The sequence below is a fragment of the Homo sapiens genome, chromosome 20 (genome assembly GCF_000001405.40).
Source record: "Homo sapiens chromosome 20, GRCh38.p14 Primary Assembly".
NCBI classification, from domain to species: Eukaryota; Metazoa; Chordata; class Mammalia; order Primates; family Hominidae; genus Homo; species Homo sapiens.
In genome coordinates this window covers 56,759,113-56,776,435 of record NC_000020.11, presented here as the reverse complement: position 1 = coordinate 56,776,435, position 17,323 = coordinate 56,759,113, and the positions used below count along the sequence as shown (strand labels likewise).

The 17,323-nt window shown below is 46.6% G+C and overlaps 3 annotated features.

Moving 5' to 3' along the window:
* Positions 272-1,121: an enhancer, noted in NCBI's record as "H3K4me1 hESC enhancer chr20:55350371-55351220 (GRCh37/hg19 assembly coordinates)". NCBI's record gives its function as "activates a minimal SCP1, AML or CMV promoter by ChIP-STARR-seq in primed H9 embryonic stem cells {active_cell/tissue: H9 hESC(primed)}" and the evidence as "EXISTENCE:reporter gene assay evidence [ECO:0000049][PMID:30033119]".
* Positions 15,727-16,329: an enhancer, noted in NCBI's record as "H3K4me1 hESC enhancer chr20:55335163-55335765 (GRCh37/hg19 assembly coordinates)". NCBI's record gives its function as "activates a minimal SCP1, AML or CMV promoter by ChIP-STARR-seq in primed H9 embryonic stem cells {active_cell/tissue: H9 hESC(primed)}" and the evidence as "EXISTENCE:reporter gene assay evidence [ECO:0000049][PMID:30033119]".
* Positions 16,330-16,933: an enhancer, noted in NCBI's record as "H3K4me1 hESC enhancer chr20:55334559-55335162 (GRCh37/hg19 assembly coordinates)". NCBI's record gives its function as "activates a minimal SCP1, AML or CMV promoter by ChIP-STARR-seq in primed H9 embryonic stem cells {active_cell/tissue: H9 hESC(primed)}" and the evidence as "EXISTENCE:reporter gene assay evidence [ECO:0000049][PMID:30033119]".

The window sequence follows — 17,323 nt, the reverse complement described above, 5'->3', positions numbered from 1 at the left end:
CTGAGCGGGAGAGGGGCCGAACAGCCTCTGCCAGGGCCATTGTCTTTGTAGGAAGAGGAAAGCCATGTTGCTCACGAATTGTAACTCACAATTTCCGAGAGCTTACCATCTTCTTTTTAAAGATTTTTTTTATTGTTATAGATTTAATGAGTACAAGTGCATTTGTGTTATGCGGATAACATAGTGTGCAGTGGTGAAGTATCATTGTCACCTGAGTAGTGTAAATTGTACCCAGGCTTACCATCTTTGAGATAAGGTGTTAAGCACTTCATGTGCATGATCTCATGTGGTCCCACCTGCAACCCTGGAAGGCAAAGACTGACATTAGCCCCACTTTCCACAAGTAGGGTGTATTTTTGATGGACAGAAAACACTTAGAACTGGCCAGATCTGCTGAGTGGATAAACAGGGACGTGGCTGCCCTGTGTCACCCTGGGGGGAGAAGTTCCAACCCTTTCCCTTTGATCCTTTCCTTCAGAGGGTCTCCTGCCAGGGGCAGAGGACGTGGTCACTGGGATCCCTGAAATCTCCCTGTCCATGGCTCAGGTCTGCCCCCTCGGCCCAGGGGACCCGAGGCCACTTTCTCTGTGGCCTTTGCTTGCCAGCAGGTCTACCCTCCCACCTCTCCCTCCCATCAGTCCAGAGAGAGTCCAGAGACAGGCAGTCATAGCAGAGGAAAGGAGCTTGTTCACCTCCAAGCCAAGAGACCATGCCTGCGAGAGAGTGCGGCTCACAAGGTAGAGGGTGGTGATGTGCGTGGGCTCTGGAGCTAAAATGTCTGGATCCTATCTCAGCCTTGCTGCTTTTTAGCTGTACAGTCTTGGCCAGGTTAAACGATCTCTCTTCACATCAATTTCTCTGCAAAATGGGGATCATACTAGGGGGTTGTCGTGAGCATACATGAGCTAATTCAAGGAACACCCCAACAGCAGCACTTGGGTGGAGTAAGTGCTCCTAAGAGATCCCACCGTCTTTAGTACGCACGTGAGTTTATATGTTTCAGCACTAAGCACAGGGGTCCCAGGGGTGCAGTCATTACTTGTGGGATGAATGAATGAACTAGTTACTCATCAGTGTTTTTAGAATTCAGCTACTTGTTCATGCATTCAACAGCATGTTTGTATTCGTCTGTTCTCACACTGCTATAAAGAAATACATGAAACTAGGTAATTTATGAAGAAAAGAGGTTTAATTGGCTCACAGTTCCACAGGCTGTGCAGGTAGCATGGCTGGGGAGGCCTCAGGAAACTTACAATCAGGGCAGAAGGTGAAGGAGAAGCAGGCACCTTACATGGCTGGAGCAGGAGAAAGAGAAGGGGGAGGGGCGACACACTTTTAAACAACCAGATCTCACCATAGCTCACTATCGCGAGAACAGCACCAAAGGGGAACTCTGCCCCCATGATCCGATCACCTTCCACCAGGTCCCGCCTACAACACTGGGAATTACAAATAACCCTCATGCTCTGGCCATGTAAGTAAGGCATGCCCACTTTCCCTTCACCTTCTACCATGATTGAAAGTTTCCTAAGGCCTCCCCAGCCACAGATCCAAACCATAACAACATTCAATTCCAGTGCTTGGTCAGATAGAGGGGATGGTCTTTACCAAGTACGAAATCCCTGGAAACAGATTAAGTCCCTTTAGTTTGCCCCCAAACTAAAACACAAGGTGACGGGAAGGCCCTATGAGTACTAGTTATGGTAAGCAGAATTCTAAGACAGCCCCAAGATTCCCTCCCCTTGTGGTTCATGTCCTGGATAACCGCCTTCCCTTGGTGTGGGCAGGACCTTGAATATGACAGGATGTCACTCTTGTGATTTTGTGATTATGTTCTAGGACAAAGATGAAAAGATTTTGTTCTGTAATTAAGGTACTGTAGGAATTGCCTTTGAGTTCATCAAAGGGAGATGATCCTAGGTGGGCCTGACCTCATCAGGTGGGCCTTTTTCTTTTCTTTTCTTTTCTTTTTTTTTTTTTTTGAGATGGAGTCTTGCTCTGTCGCCAGGCTGGAGTGCAGTGGCACGGTCTCAGCTCACTGCAACCTCTACCTCCCGGGTTCAAGCGATTCTCCTGCCTCAGCCTCCCAAGTAGCTGGGACTACAGGCGCACCCCACCATGCCCAGCTACTTTTCATATTTTCAGTAGAGACAGGGTTTCGCCATGTTGGTCAGGATGGTCTCGATCTCCTGACCTCATGATCCACCCACCTCAGCCTCCCAAAATGCTGGGATTACAGGCGCGAGGCACCACACCCAGCCCAGGTGAACCTTTTGAAAGAAGCTCTAGAGATCAGAGAAGGAAGAAGGGCAAGGTTCATAGTAGCAGCCATGCTTCTGCTATCCTGGAAGAACCAGGCCTCCATGAGTTCTGCAGCTGCAGCAAGATGAACTTTGCCAATAACCACATCTGTTTGGGAGAGGACCCTGGGCCTCCAGAGGAGATCCCAGCCTCAGCCAACATCTTGACTGAAGCCTTGTGAGACCCAGAGCTGAGGATCCAGTTAAGCCGTGCCTGGAATCTTTTGCCATGAAAGCAGTGAGCTCATAAATGTGAAATAATCGACAGTGTTGTTTTAAGCCACCGAGTTCGTGTGGTTATTTGTGAGGCAGCAATTGGAAACAAGCACACCAGTCATCACGGCCATTTTTCAAGGCTCACTCTGTATGAAGCATCATGTGTAAGGACTTTTTTCTTTTCTTTCTTTCTTTTTTTTTTTTTTTTTTTTTTGGAGACAGGGTCTCACTCTGTTGCCCAGGCTGGAGTGCAATGGTGCAATCTCAGCTCACTGCAACCTCCGCCTCCTTGGCTCAGGCAATCTTCCCACCTCAGTCTCCCAAGTAGCTGGGACCACAGGTGCACACTACCACACCTGGCTAATATTTTCATTTTTTGTAGAGATGGGGTTTCGCCATATTGCCCAAGTTGGTCTTGAACTCCTGGGCTCATGGGAATTCTCCTACCTCCTAAAGTCCTGGGATTACAGGTGTGAGCCACCACACCCAGCCAGCTAAGGACTTTTATGTACTGTATCTCAGGTCATGTTCTCAATAACTGAAGTAGGTTCTAATGATATTCCTATTTCACAGATAGGGAAACCGAGACCCAGAGAAGTCACATAGGCTGCTCACGGCTAGTTGGCGACAGAGACAAAATTTGAATCCAAGTGGCCTACCCCCAAAGCCTGCCCCAGGTACTGCAACTTGCAATATTTTTAAGTACATATGAAAGCATAGACATGAACATTTTGGAAAGGGTGCATGTTACACATTGGTAACCTGGATGGTGAGATGAGAAGAGAATGTTTTGCTTTTATGCTTTTTCTATAATTTCTAACTTATTTTACAGTTAGTGCATATTTTAACAATCAGGAAAAGAAAGAAAAATGCTTTGTATCCAGTGACGATCTCTGAGTGATGAAATTACAGGCCTCTTTTACATTTTTCCTTTCATCTCAATTTTCTACCATATCCGTAACAGATGTGTTGCTTGTATAATTTTTTAAAAGCTCAAGCCAAGAAAACAAGCGAATGTATTTCAGAAAGTGAAAGCAAAAAAAGAGAGAAGGGACCCAGGACAAGAGGCCTGGGCCCAGACATTCCGAGGAGAAAGGGCCAGGGTCTTGTTCTAATGAAAGCAAATTTGCTGGCAGACTTGAAATGCGGCTTCGGATCTCCCGGAAGAGGTAGCCGTCTGAGCCTCCCAGCAACTGGGCTTTTATTAAACATGTGCAGCTTCTTCTGCAAATGTTGTCACCTGAAACTTTGTTATTTTAATTGGTAGCTATTCCTGTGGGCTCTTGTTTGAAGGACAGCTGCTAAGAAATCCAGCTCCAGGCATTTCTTCGATGTAGGGAAAGGCAAGGAGAGGCGCGCTCACTGACCCCCAGGAGCACACTTTGGATAGAGCTTACGCTTGGGTTTAATGCCACCATTAATTAACAAGGGCTCATGTGCCAACCTCTATCGAGGCACTTCCTTTGGTGGCTCTCATTTTATCTTTCCACATCTCTATGAGGTGAGTCCTAGCATTATTTTCATTTTACAGATGAAGAAGTTGAGGTTTAAGGAGATCAAGTAATAATAATACCCTATTTCATTAAATCTAAGGCATACTCTAATTTAATATGCCACTATGAAAAAGAAAAACCTAGCTATCAATGTGTAAAACACCATGGACTGTAAGATGCACCCTGATTACAGAGCTGTTGAAAGACGCATCTTAAAAACCCACGGTTCGATGCAATGTGGTATTCTGAAATGGACCCTGGAACAGGAAAAACAGCCACTAATGGGAAAATTGGTGACACTCAAATAAACAGCTTAGCTAATAGTACTGTGCCAATGTGAATGTGTCCGCTTTGATAAAAAATACCATGGATATGTAAAACGTTAATGCTAGGAGAAGCTAGCTGTGAGAAGAAGGATATGAGGATATAAATCTCTGTTCTAGATTTGCAAACTTTTCCATCATATTATTATTCAAAAATAAATTTTCCAAGTAAAGAAATTCCAAAATTAAAAGTTTATTTTTTTTAAATGATAAAATATGGCAAGCGCTAACTAACATTGATACGGTACTTACCAGGTGCAGGCACTAGTGTGGTATTGACAAAAGCAAGGACACATGGATCAGTGGAACAGAACAGAGAGTTCAGAAAGAGACCCATACATTTAATGCCAGGTGATTTTCAATAATAGTGTCAAAGCAATTCAATGCAGAAAGGAAAGTCTTTCAACAAATGGTGCTGGAACAGTTGGACACCCATACACAAAAAATGAACTTCAACCCATATTTCAATTTTTTTTAAGTTAAAATCGATCATAGACCTCAGTGTAAAAGTTAAAACTACAGGCTGGGCGCAGTGGCTCATGCCTGTAATCCCAGCACTTTGGGAGGCTAAGGCGGGTGGATCACGTGAGGTCAGGAGTTTGAGACCAGCCTGGTCAACATGATGAAACCCCATCTCTACTAAAAATACAAAAAATTAGCCAGGCATGGTGGGGGGCACCTGTAATCCCAGCTACTCAGAAGGCTGAAGTAGGAGAATCGTTTGAACCTGGGAGGTGGAGGTTGCAATGAGCAGAGATTGCACCACTGCACTCCAGCCTGGGCAACAAGAGCAAAACTCCACCTCAATAAATAAATAAATAAATAAAACTTCTAGAAGAAAACATAGGAGAAAATCTTCATAACTTTGGATTAGGCACAGGTTTTTTTAAGATAGAACACAAAAAGCATAAATTGTAAAGAACAAATTGATAAATTGGACTTAAAACGAAAAACTTCTATCTTCGAGAGACACTGTTACAAAAATGAAAAGACAAGCCACAGACTGTGAAAATATATTTGCAAAACGCATATCTGATAGAGGACTGGAATGGAGAATATATAAATAACCCTCACAAGACAGTAATAAGAAAACAAATAACTCAATTAAAAATTGGCAAAATATTTGAACCAATACCTTGTTAAAGGGAACGAAATACAGCCGAGAAGGACTCCATACTTCTATATTTGAGCCCTTACGGATGAACCATAACCTAATTTAATGGGTAGATGAGATTGAAAACCTAACTTAGGAGGAGGCACCTGTAACAATTGCTGAGTCTTGGCAATGCCAGCAGACATGCTTCAGCCACCTTTACGCTGCCGAGCGTTCAAACTGTGTTCAAATAAGGTGGACGAGCTGTAACCAATCCAGCTGTTTCTGTACCTCACTTCTGATTTCCATACGCCATTTCTTTTTCTTTCTTTCTTTTTTTTTTTTTTTGGCTATAAATTGGGTCTGACCACGAGGCACCCTGGAGTCTGTCTGAGTCTGCTGTGATTCTGGGGGCTGCCCAATTCGCAAATCGTTCATTGCTCAAACTCCTTTAAATTTAATTCAGCTGAAGTTTTTCTTTTAACAGCCTTACTAAAGAATATATATGGATGGCCAATAGACTAATGAAAAGATGCTCAACATTATTAGTCATTAGAAAACTGCAAGTTGAAACCACAGAAAGATACCACTACATACTAGAATATGCCTAAACCAACAAAACATGCCCCTCTGAAAAAAGACACTTGGCAATCCCAAGTGCTGGTGCAGATATGAAAAACTGGAACCCCTGAAGACCGCATGTGGGGTGCAGAATTGCCCCGGCACCTTGGAAAACATCCTAGATATACCTTAGATATTTATCCAAGATAAACAGAAACAGATGTTCATACAAAAACCTGTCCGTGAATGTTTAGAGTAGCTTAATTCATAATTGCCAAAAACTGGAAACAAACCAAATGTCCATCAACAGATGAATGGTTGAACTGTGGTATACCTACACAGTGGAAAGCTATTCAACAATACAAAACCAGCACACCGCAGCATGGAAGAATTTCCAGTCCATTGTACTGAGCAAAAGGGGCCAGACTCAAAAGGCTGCCTCCTGACTGATCGCACTTATATGACCTGCTGGAGAAGGCAAAACTGTAGGGACAGATAAAAGATCACTAGTTGCCATGGGCTGAGGCTAGGGGTGGTGACTGACTAAAAAGCAACACAAGGGAATTTTAGAGGGGGGTGGAAATGTTCTATAGCTTGATTGTGACCATGGTCACACAACGGCATGTGTTGCAAAATTCATAGAACTGTACAACTAAAAAGGGTTAATTTTGTTGTGTATAACTTAGACCTCAATAAAACTGACTTTAAAAGAAGAATCAGCCCTTGGCCTGGCGCAGTGGCTCATGCCTGTAATCCCAGCACTTTGGGAGGCCAAGGCAGGCGCATCACCTGAGGTCAGGAGTTCGAGACTAGCCTGGCCAACATGGTGAAACCCTATCTCTATGGGCGTGGTGGTGGGCACCTCTAATCCCAGCTACTCAGGAGGCTTAGGCAGGAGAATCGTTTGAACCTGGGAGGTGGAGGTTGCAGTGAGCCAAGATCGCACCACTGCACTCCAGCCTGCGTGACAAGAACGAAACTCTATCTCAAAAAAAAAAAAAAAAGAAAGAAAGAAAGAAAGAAAGGACAAAGAATCAGCCCCAAGTAAGTTCATGCCCACAATTTTGTGTTATTTAGTTCATATAATTTTTTTCAGTAAATTTGAAATCATTATCATTACCTAAAAATCAGATCTCATCTAAATTTTTTTTTTTTTTTGAGTCTTGCTCTGTCGCCCAGGCTGAAGTGCAATGGTGCAATCCCGGCTCACTGCAACCTCCGCCTCCTGGGTTCAAATGATTCTCCTGCCTCAGCCTCCTGAGTAGCTGGGATTACAGGTGCCCACTACCATGCCCGGCTAATTTTGTATTTTTAGTAGAGACGGAGTTTCACCATGTTGGTAAGGCTGGTCTCGAACTCCTGACCTCAGGTGATCCACTCGCCTCGGCCTCCCAAAGTGCTGGGATTACAGGCATGAGCCACTGCACCTAGCTGATCTCATCTAAAATTAAGGTATATCCACTTTTCATTAAAAATAAAAAGCTCTCATAACACTGGGCTTCTCTTTTTTATGCAAAACTAGCTGGTTCTCATTGGCAGCCACCTACAGATGAGGCATGAGCTCTCCACTTTGCTCCAGTCCCCACCACTCCCTATTACCTCTCTGCCTCTGAAGCCTCCCTCATGCATGTGAGGACATCCGCCTGTAGGTATGTTACTTTGTAACTCCTGCTCTAAACCATTACACATAGTGATGTCTAACAGGTCATAAAAGGGTCTTCAGAAAATGAAAAACAAAAAACTCTGTAGCAGAGATTGCTGGATGCCTTCACACTATTTATTCTCCTTCCTCTTCTCTAACAGAAATCCTAAGTTTTTGAATCCTGAGATGAGTTTGGCCAAAGGACTACATTTCTGCACTTCCTTTACAATGTGCATGGCCATCCATGCATAAGCAGAAGGCAGTGGGTGGGGCGCCCATGAGAGTTCTTTAAGGGGCTGACTCAGATGGGAGGTGGGCCCTTTTGTGACTCCCCACTCCTCATTCTTTTTGGCTGGAATACAAATATGATGGCTGGAGCAGGAGCAGCCATCTTGGGACTGAAGAAAAAGGCCAAAGGAAACATAGCCACGTCAGCGCTGGCACCACTGAGCCTCTGAGTGCCACTGACTGCCCATCTCTGGCATCGTCTGAGAAAATAAACCCTAGAAGTAATTGACTCTAATTTCTACCTGATGCATTATTAAGATTAATGGTATTTGCCATATTCCAAGCATGAAACTAAGGTTTTCCACATAATAACTCATTTAACCTCTACCACAATCCCACTATGTAGGTGCCCCCGTTGACTCATTTCACAGAATAGGCAACCAAGGCAGAGAGCCCAATATCACACAGCTAAGGAGGAGCTTGCACTGGCAGTTCACTCAGGCTCTCTGCGTCCAGGGCTCATGCTGAGGTTAGATAGGAAAAGTGGGTGCCGCTAAGGGGCAGGTGAGCAGGTTCCCAGCCTAGGTCTCCCAATAACCTGCACCTCATCACATACCCTCTCAGTGTCCCCCTCTGTAAATGGGGCTGATCTTCCAGGCTCTGGTACCCACAGACTGTTATGAGGCTCCTCTGAGTTCCCAAATTTCAACAGCTTTTAAAAACACCAAGTGATGTGCAAATAGAAAGTATTACTTTTGTTTTCTTTTTCTTTTTTTTTTTTTTTGAGATGGAGTCTCATTCTATCACCCAGGCTGGAGTGCTGTGGTGCGATCTCGGCTCACTGCCACCTCCACCTCCCAGGTTTAAGTGATTCTCCTACCTCAGCCTCCTGAGTAGCTTACAGGTGCCCACCACCACGCCCAGCTAATTTTTGTATTTTTAGTAGAGACGAGGTTTCACCATGTCAGCCAGGCTGGTCTCCAACTCCCGACCTCAAGTGATCCACCTGCCTCGGCCTCCCAAAGTGCTGGGACTATAAGCGTGAGCCACTGCACCCAGCAAGAAATACTCTTTTTTGTTGTTGTTGTTGTTGTTTTTTGTTTGTTTTTGAGACGGAGTCTCGCTCTGTCACCCAGACTGGAATGCAGTGGCACAATCTCAGCTCACTACACCTCCGCCTCCTGGGTTCAAGCAATTCTTCTGCCTCCCGAGTAGCTGGGACTACAGGCGTACTCCACCACACCCGGCTAATGCGTTACTCTTCTTAAACCTTATGAAACACAGCAGAGCTGTAAAACTCTTTTCCTGCCATGCCGGGTACCAGTGTCTCCTGAGGGACGGTCCCCATTCTCTGTCAAACACACTTGCTCCTGGAAACTCCAGTTCTGCCAAATTAAACATCCAGAAGACTTTGGGGTTACGGAATTTCCTGCATAAGGCCCGTAACAGGCACTGGATAAATCTCTGTGGTTGACAGTCTAAGGTCCTGACTCCCGAGCTGCAGCTCTGCCAACCAAGCCCGGCTGCCAAGCATGGCGTTCCAGTGCTCTGAAGGGCTGGGGCCCCACCAGTGCGTGCTCACCCCTCTCCAAAGAGGATGTCTGTAATTTCAGATGGTCTGCATCTCCCTCCTCTCGGAACAGCATCTCAATCTGCCTTAGGGAAGCCACTCCATCCTCATCCTCCTGTGCATCTATTCGGGTAGGAATTAAGTCCCTGCTCCAGGGCTGGCACATGGCATAAGCACAGCCAGTCAGTGTATTCCACCACAGGTCACAGTGATTGGTTCAGGGATGGACATGTGGCCAAAGTCAGCCCAATGAGAATCAGCCCTGGGTTATTTTTTGTTTTGTTTTGTTGTTTTTTTGCTATTTTGGAAACGACAAATTTCTTTCCACTGAGGTTGCTAAACTGGTAGTCATAAATCCTGAACTGCTCGTGGCTGCCACAGAGGGGGAAAAAAAGTGCCTGAGGAAGTAACCAACCAGTAGAAAGCAGAGAGGAGTAATGGGGAGGCAGGGGAGAGAGAGAGAGAAAGGCAGGCCAGGTCACGTGGATGTTGTTTAAATCCCTAGATCCACCCATTCTCGAACTCCCAAATTAAAAACATGAGTCTATTCTCATTCAGACCTAGGCTCAAAACCAGGATACGCAGCCTGGCCAACATGGTGAAACTCTGTCTCTACCAAAAAAAAAAAAAAAAAAAAAAAAAAAATTAGCCGGGCGTGGTGGCACATGCCTCTAATCCCAGCTACTTGGGAGGCTGAGGCACAAGAATCACTTGAACCCGTGAGGTGGATTGCAGTGAGCTGAGATTGCACCACTGCACTCCAGCCTGGGAGACAGAGCAAGACCCTGCCTCAAAAACAACAACAGCAAGGGAATCTGCTTTTTACCAGTTGTGTGGCCATGACAACAGCCATTCCTGCTGCTTCTAATAATGGTGTTTGACTTGCTCTGGAGAAACCATTCGTCCCTTACTTTTGGTCCATGTGGTCCTACAGGGTTTGACCCTCTCCCCTGGCTTGGGGCAGAATCTTGAATTAGGGCAAAACAGTCAGAGTCACAGTGATTGGTTCACCAATGGGCACATGACCAAGCTGGACCACTAAGAGTCAGCCCTGGGATTTTTGGCTGGATACTCTGTCTGCTGAGTTTACTTGGCTAGAAACTGAGTGTAGAGTTGCGGGTGACTGGGAAGGAAGCTGTCTTCATAAAAATCAGAGTCAAGGGACTTTAGTACCCATGGACTGACTTTCCAGTGACATGAGCCAATCCGTTCTTATTTTGTTTGTTCAACCCAGTTTGAGTGTACTTCCTGAGCCTTACAACAAAAAGTCTTGCCTAATCCTCCCATTCTTTCTGCAGCTCAGTCAGACATCAATCATTTCTTAAGTGAAAATGAATGAGCACGCTTTTCAATACATCTGTTGCAGCCTCTTCTTCTGGACCGAGTTTCAGCTCTCCATGCTGGAGGCAGGGGATGAACCAGATGTACCCAGGAGGGCCCTTCTCATAATACCCGAAGGAAGGGTAACCAATTTGTGCAGCATCCAAGCAGAGACTGCAACCAAATGTGTCAGGTTTTGCTTGAAGAGATTCCTTCCTGGGCAGGAGCGGTGAACTTTCAAGCAGCACAGCCCCCTCCTGTAAGAGGTCACTGCGCACTCAGACCTGCCTGGACAGGCTGCCACGCGCTTCAACACTGGCCTTTTCCGGCCTTGAATAGGATCCCTTTATTCAAGTCTTTTTCAGGAAGACACGCCCTTTTCCTTCTGGCTGTGCCCTTGTTTGGATTAAGTCCCTGGGCCAGCTTCACAAACCAAGAAGCAAAGGATTGTTCCTAAGACTTGGCCCAGCTCTGGTGGGGATGGACGGAAAGATGATCATTGGTGAGCTCCAGAACCATCCCATAATGACCAAGTCCGTGGTCCACTTCGATCAGAGGCCTGGAGCAAGTCTCAGCATTGCAACTGATGTCCCCTGAGTTGATTCTAGCCCACAGTCCCCGTTCAGTCTGCAAAGTCTATCTTCATCTTTCTACGTGAAGCCAGCGTCTAAAAGACATGAGACTTCATGCAGCAATTGGGATTCCACCACCACCGCCCCCCACCCACCCCGCCCCAGTCATGAAGTAGAAAATCTGACCACGCGGAGCCCACACGCCCCGTAGCTGCACTGGTTCATGCTGAGGAGCAGCCGCCAGCCTCCAGGAGGCAGACGCGCTCTGGGTCTGCCATTCTCTACTTTGCCTGCCTCATCTTCCTGCCTGGTCCCAGATCCAGCCCATTCCAAGCCCGTCTGGTCCCACTCTCCCCCACCCACCAGGCTGAGCCATGCTTCTCTCTGTTCCTTAAACACACCACATTCTCTGCCACCCCTGGGCCTTTGCATGCGCTCCCCGACCTGAGCTGCTCAGCCTGCTGCTTTCCGTGGCCTGGAAGGGATTCCGCATCCACGGCATCTCCTTCCAGTGATGCTCAGACACACTGTTCTTTTCTCTTCCTTCCCTTTTCTCTTTCATTGTTTTTCTTTTAATTATTATTATTATTTACTTTTATTACGATACTTGAAGAAGTTTGATATTCAAGAGTTAAAAAAACTTGATGGCTTTTTTTTTTTTTCCTTGCACAGAAGATCATGTTAATAATTGGGCGCAGGCCGGGCCTGGTGGCTCACTCCTGTAATCCCAGCACTTTGGAAGGCTGAGGTGGGAGGATTGCTTGAGGCCAGGCGTTCAAGGCTAGCCTGGGCAACATGGTAAGACCCTGTCTCTACAAAAAAGTAAAAAATTATCTGGGCATGGTTTGTGCATCGGTAGTCTCAGCTACTCAGGACGCTGAAGTAGGAAGATTGCTTGAGCCTATGAGATGGAGGTTGCAGTGAGCAATGATCACAACACTGCACCCCAGCCTAGGCAACAGAACAAGACCCTGTCTTATAATCATAATCATAATAAATAAAATGATCATTGTTTCTTTATCTTTTGGTCTTTTTTTTTTCTTTTTTCTTTTGATACGGAGTCTCTCTCTGTTCTCAAGCTGGAGTGCAGTGGCGAGATCTCGGCTCACTGCAAGCTCCGCCTCCTAGGTTCACACCATTCTCCTGCCTCAGCCTCCCAAGTAGCTGGGACTACAGGCGCCCACCACCATGCCCGGCTAATTTTTTTTATATTCTTAGTAGAGACAGGGTTTCACCGTGTTAGCCAGGATGGCCTCGATCTCCTGACTTCGTGATCTACCCGCCTCGGCCTCCCAAAGTGCTGGGATTACAGGCGTGAGCCACCACGCCCAGCCTATGTTTTGGTCTTTTCTACTCCTCCTTTCTTTGTCTTCCTCCCCCTTCCCTCCCCCCTTCCCTCCCCCCTTCCCTCCCTCTCTCCCTCCCCTTTTCCTTCCTTCTTCCCTATTTTTCTTCTCAGCATCATTGTTGGAGGTGCTAAAAGCATAGGTTTCCATTTATGTTAGCTCACAATGGAAAGGCTCAACCCTCCCCTCTGTCCACCCATGTTTGTCTTTTCTAACTAGTAAAACCAGCAAATTCTATTTTTATGAAGAAAAGTTCTCTTTGCAAAGAAACCATTGGCTTTCGTCAGAACCATCAGCAACTTCCATCTGGTGCCCAAAGCCTTGGCACTCTCCAGAACCTGGGGTCAAGATGCTGATGGAGGGGGGACCCCTCAGAGGCCCCCAGCTCCCAAACAGAGGCATAGAACTGTCCTATCCTCAGTCACTTTCCTGCCCCGCCCCTTCCCCACATTCTCAGGTCCTTCTCCCCAACCTCATGCACCCAAAGCGTTTCTCCAACACAGCACCCTCTGTATGGTTTTCTTTCTAAAAATAGTGTGTGCGGCTCTCAGCTGCTCTTTCTCACCTCAGGAGACAGGGAAGACTCATGGGGTTGGCATTGGGGGTGAAACGGTAGAGAGTGGGGAAAACTCCTTTTTCAATAGAGTTGTTCCTCTCACTCTTACTAAAGGGTGAGTGGTTACCTTGGAATTAATCTCATACCAGACAGTAGGAGTGGCCCTTTCTCTCTTACCCACAATCTCCTTCCTGTTTCATGATGCACAAACACCCTCCTGTCACTGCGGTAGGATAAACTCAAGAAGTTTTGTCCACGTCGGAACGGGCTTCCCCTGGTCTATAGGCACTTCAACGTGTAGGTCTGAATTCTCTAAATGCTTCCAGGAAGGCGACACAGAGGGTTTAGCTCCCTGGATCTGTCTCTGCTTGCCCGTGATGATGGCTAACTCCAATTTTCTTTTCCAAATTGTTATTGAAAGGAAAGAGCAAAAGCAGTCCACTGCTGCTGGACACAGCATCTCTACCCCACAGTCTCTGTGCCTCAAACACCCCTGGGATTTGGAATGGTGGGGCCCCAAGCTGCCGCTTCCATTTTCCAGAGGCCACAGTTGTGATCCAGCAGCCCAGGAGCTCCGGCTGGACTCACCCACTAACTCTCTAGTCCATCACCATCATCACACACCAGAAAGACTCCTGGGTGAGTCATTGCCCTCAGACATTCAAAGAGGTGCCATGGAGGAGTTGGTCAGATTCCATGGCACCAAACAACAGTCACTGTGACAGCCATCAGGGGAGCACACAGGAGCAGAAGGGGCCGGTCAGTGCTGCAGGAGGCCTGGTGTTGGTGGGGACGTGACATGTCTCCAGTCATTTCCTTGGACTTTCATTGACCTACGTCAAGGCAGTAGGTTGAGTTGTGCCTCCTTAAAGTTCACGTCAACCTCAGAATGTGACCTTATTTGGAAATAGGGTCTTTGTGGATATAATTAAGGTAAAGATAGAAATGAGATTATCCTGGATTAGGGTAGGGCCTAAATCTAATGAGAGTATCCTTGTAAGAGATGGGAAAGGACACACAGAGAAGTCCATGTGAAGATGGAGGTGGAGATGGGAGTGATAAGTCTACAAGCCAAGAAATACCAAGGATTGCCAGGAGCCACCAACAGTGAGGAGAAAGGCCTAGGACGGGTTTTTCCCTCTGAGCCTCCAGAGGCCCTGCCAATACCATGCTTTTAGACTTCTGACCTCCAGAACTATAAGAGAGTACATTTCTGTTTTCTTTTAATACACCCAGTTTATGGTAATTTATTATGGCAGCTATAGAAAGCGAACACACTCAGGGAGTAAAAGAACATTGCTCTATTTTTTCCATGGGGCAAAATGCCCTTTCAGGGGGTGGGTATAAGTCAGCAAAGTTGGAGCTGGAAACAGTCCAATATTTTGACATTATCACCATCATCATCATTGCCATCACCATCATCACCATTATCATCACTATCATAACCATCACCATTACCATCACTACCACCATCACCATCACCACCATCAGCATCATCACCATCACCATCACCACCATCACCCTCACTATCGTAACCTTCACCATCACCAACACCACCACCACCATCATCACCATTACCACCATCATCATCACCATCACTATTATCACCATCATTACCATCATCATCATCACCATCATTATCATCACCATCATTACCACCATCTCTACCACCATCATCATCACCGTTACCACCACCACCACCATTATCACCATCACTATTATCACCATCATCACCATCATCACCATCAACACCATCATAATCATTATCACCATCATCATCATCACTACCATTAACAGCAGCAGCAGCAGCATCACCTTTATCATCATCATCGCCACCATTGCCATCACCATTATCGCCACCACCATCAGCAGCGGTAGTAGCACCAGCCTCACCATCATCATCACCATGGGTATCATTTAGTGAGTGTGTATTACATGCTGTATGCTAGACACTGTACATCCCTTCCTCAATCCTTCCAACAATACTACAAGGTAGCTTTAAGTGTTTCCATTTTCCGGACCAGAAAAGTAAAACCTAAGAGATTTAATAGATTTAATAACATTTTCCTCATGTTCTAAACTTAGATGGCCATTCCACATAATTACTAGCTGAGTGACCTCTAGCAAATTTATCACCTGGTTGATCTTCAAATCCTGTACCTACAAGATGAGTTTAACAAGGATGCCCACCTCACAGGGTTATTGTGGGAGTGGATGAGAGGATGAATATAAAGTACCTGGCACTCAATAAATGATGCAGTTGCTGCTGTCTTGCTCTTGCTCCATCAGCTGCCGAAGGAGGAAGGGAGGGTCTTCTTTGTCTCCAACTTCAGCCACATTATTATTACTCCCTGTAAAACCCTGCGAGTCATGAGGGCAGGAACCAGGAGCTCTAAAGCCTGCTAGGAAACCAGGTCATTTCTAACTCTCTAGCTCACCCACAGACATCTCACTGCGCCCCGCCCCCTCTGGCCCCTTAGCAACTGAAATACAAATCAGTTTCCTACCCCAAAGACAGGACTGGCTCTGTAATTTTCAGGGCCTAGTAAAAAATGCAAATGTTGGCTGGGCACGGTGGCTCACGCTTGTAATGCCAGCACTTTGGGAGGCCAAGGACAGCGGATCACCTGAGGTCAGAAGTTCAAGACCAGCCTGACCAACATAGAGAAACCCCGTCTCTACTAAAATACAAAAAAATTAGCCAGGCGTGGTGGTGCATCCCTATAATCCCAGCTACTCAGGAGGCTGAGGCAGGAAAATTGCTTGAACCTGGGAGGTGGAGGTTGCAGTGAGCCGAGATCATGCCATTGCACTCCAGCCTGGGCAACAAGAGTGAAACTCCGTCTCAAAAAATAAATACATAAATACATAAAAATGCAAATGCTCCAAACTTATTAAGAATTTCAAGACATAAACCACAGAGCATCAAACCAAGCACAGGGCCTTTTTTAGTGCAGGGTCCTGTGTGGCTGCCCAGCTCTATGTGCCCGTGAAGCAGGCCCGGCCCAAGGACTCTGCTGGCCTGCGTGGCTCCCCACCCAGAACCCTTTGCTGTTGTTTGACATCTCTGCACACCACCTGCTCTTTCCCTATGGCCACCCTGGCTGGAGGTCTGTGCTGATGAGTGCCCTGACGCCCAGGATAAGCAAATCTCCCCAAGCAGTTGAGAGCAAAGGTCCCTGGGAGGCAGCCAGGCTGTGGGAGCTGGCACATGGGCAGACCATTGATGAGCCACAGAAAACCTCAGCAAGCCCATCACACACACCCCACTGAAAAATGGAAGTCAACACCGATCCAGCCCTTTCTGCCATGAAGCTTCAAGCTGTGGCCTGCCTAATCCTGTACGTGATTTGGTCTGATTAACCTGATCTAATGCACCGACAGGGACAGTGGGCAAACCCAACCCTGCCCCCGATTAGGGCCACATTCAACTTTCCATGGAAGTCTCACTGTGGCTAATCCCTAAATAAGGAGCATGCCTGTTAGGCAGGCAAAGAAAAAGGCAGGTGGGTTAGGGAGGTGCAGTGAGCGGGTAAAGGCTCCAGCACTGGAGGGCCAGCAACCAACCGTCAAGGAGGGAGGTCATTTGCACTACTCCTAAGAAGAAGTTGCGATTTAATGAGGTCCTTCTTTTTTTTATGAGATGGAGTCTCGCTCTGCCACCAGGCTGGAGTGCAGTGGCATGATCTCGGCTCACTGCAACCTCCGCCTCCCAGGTTCAAGCAATTCTCCTGTCTCAGCCTCCCGAGTAGCTGGGACTACAGGCACACGCCACCACATTCAGCTTATTTTTGTATTTTTAATAGAGACAGGGTTTCACCCTATTGGTCAGGTTGGTCTCAAACTCCTGACTTCAAGTGATCCACCCGCCTCAGCCTCCCAAAGTGCTGGGATTACAGGCGTGAGCCACCGCACCCAGCTGAGGTCTTTCTATTTATCCAGTCATTAGGCTAAGGCAGTAGCTGCACAAACTTTTTCTCTAAAGGGCTAGATCGTAAAAATTAGAGGCTCCGAGGGTCACACAGTCTGTGTCGCAATTGCTCAACCCTGCCATCATAGAGCAGTCTGTAGTGCTCAGGTAATATGTAAATGAGTGTAGTGGC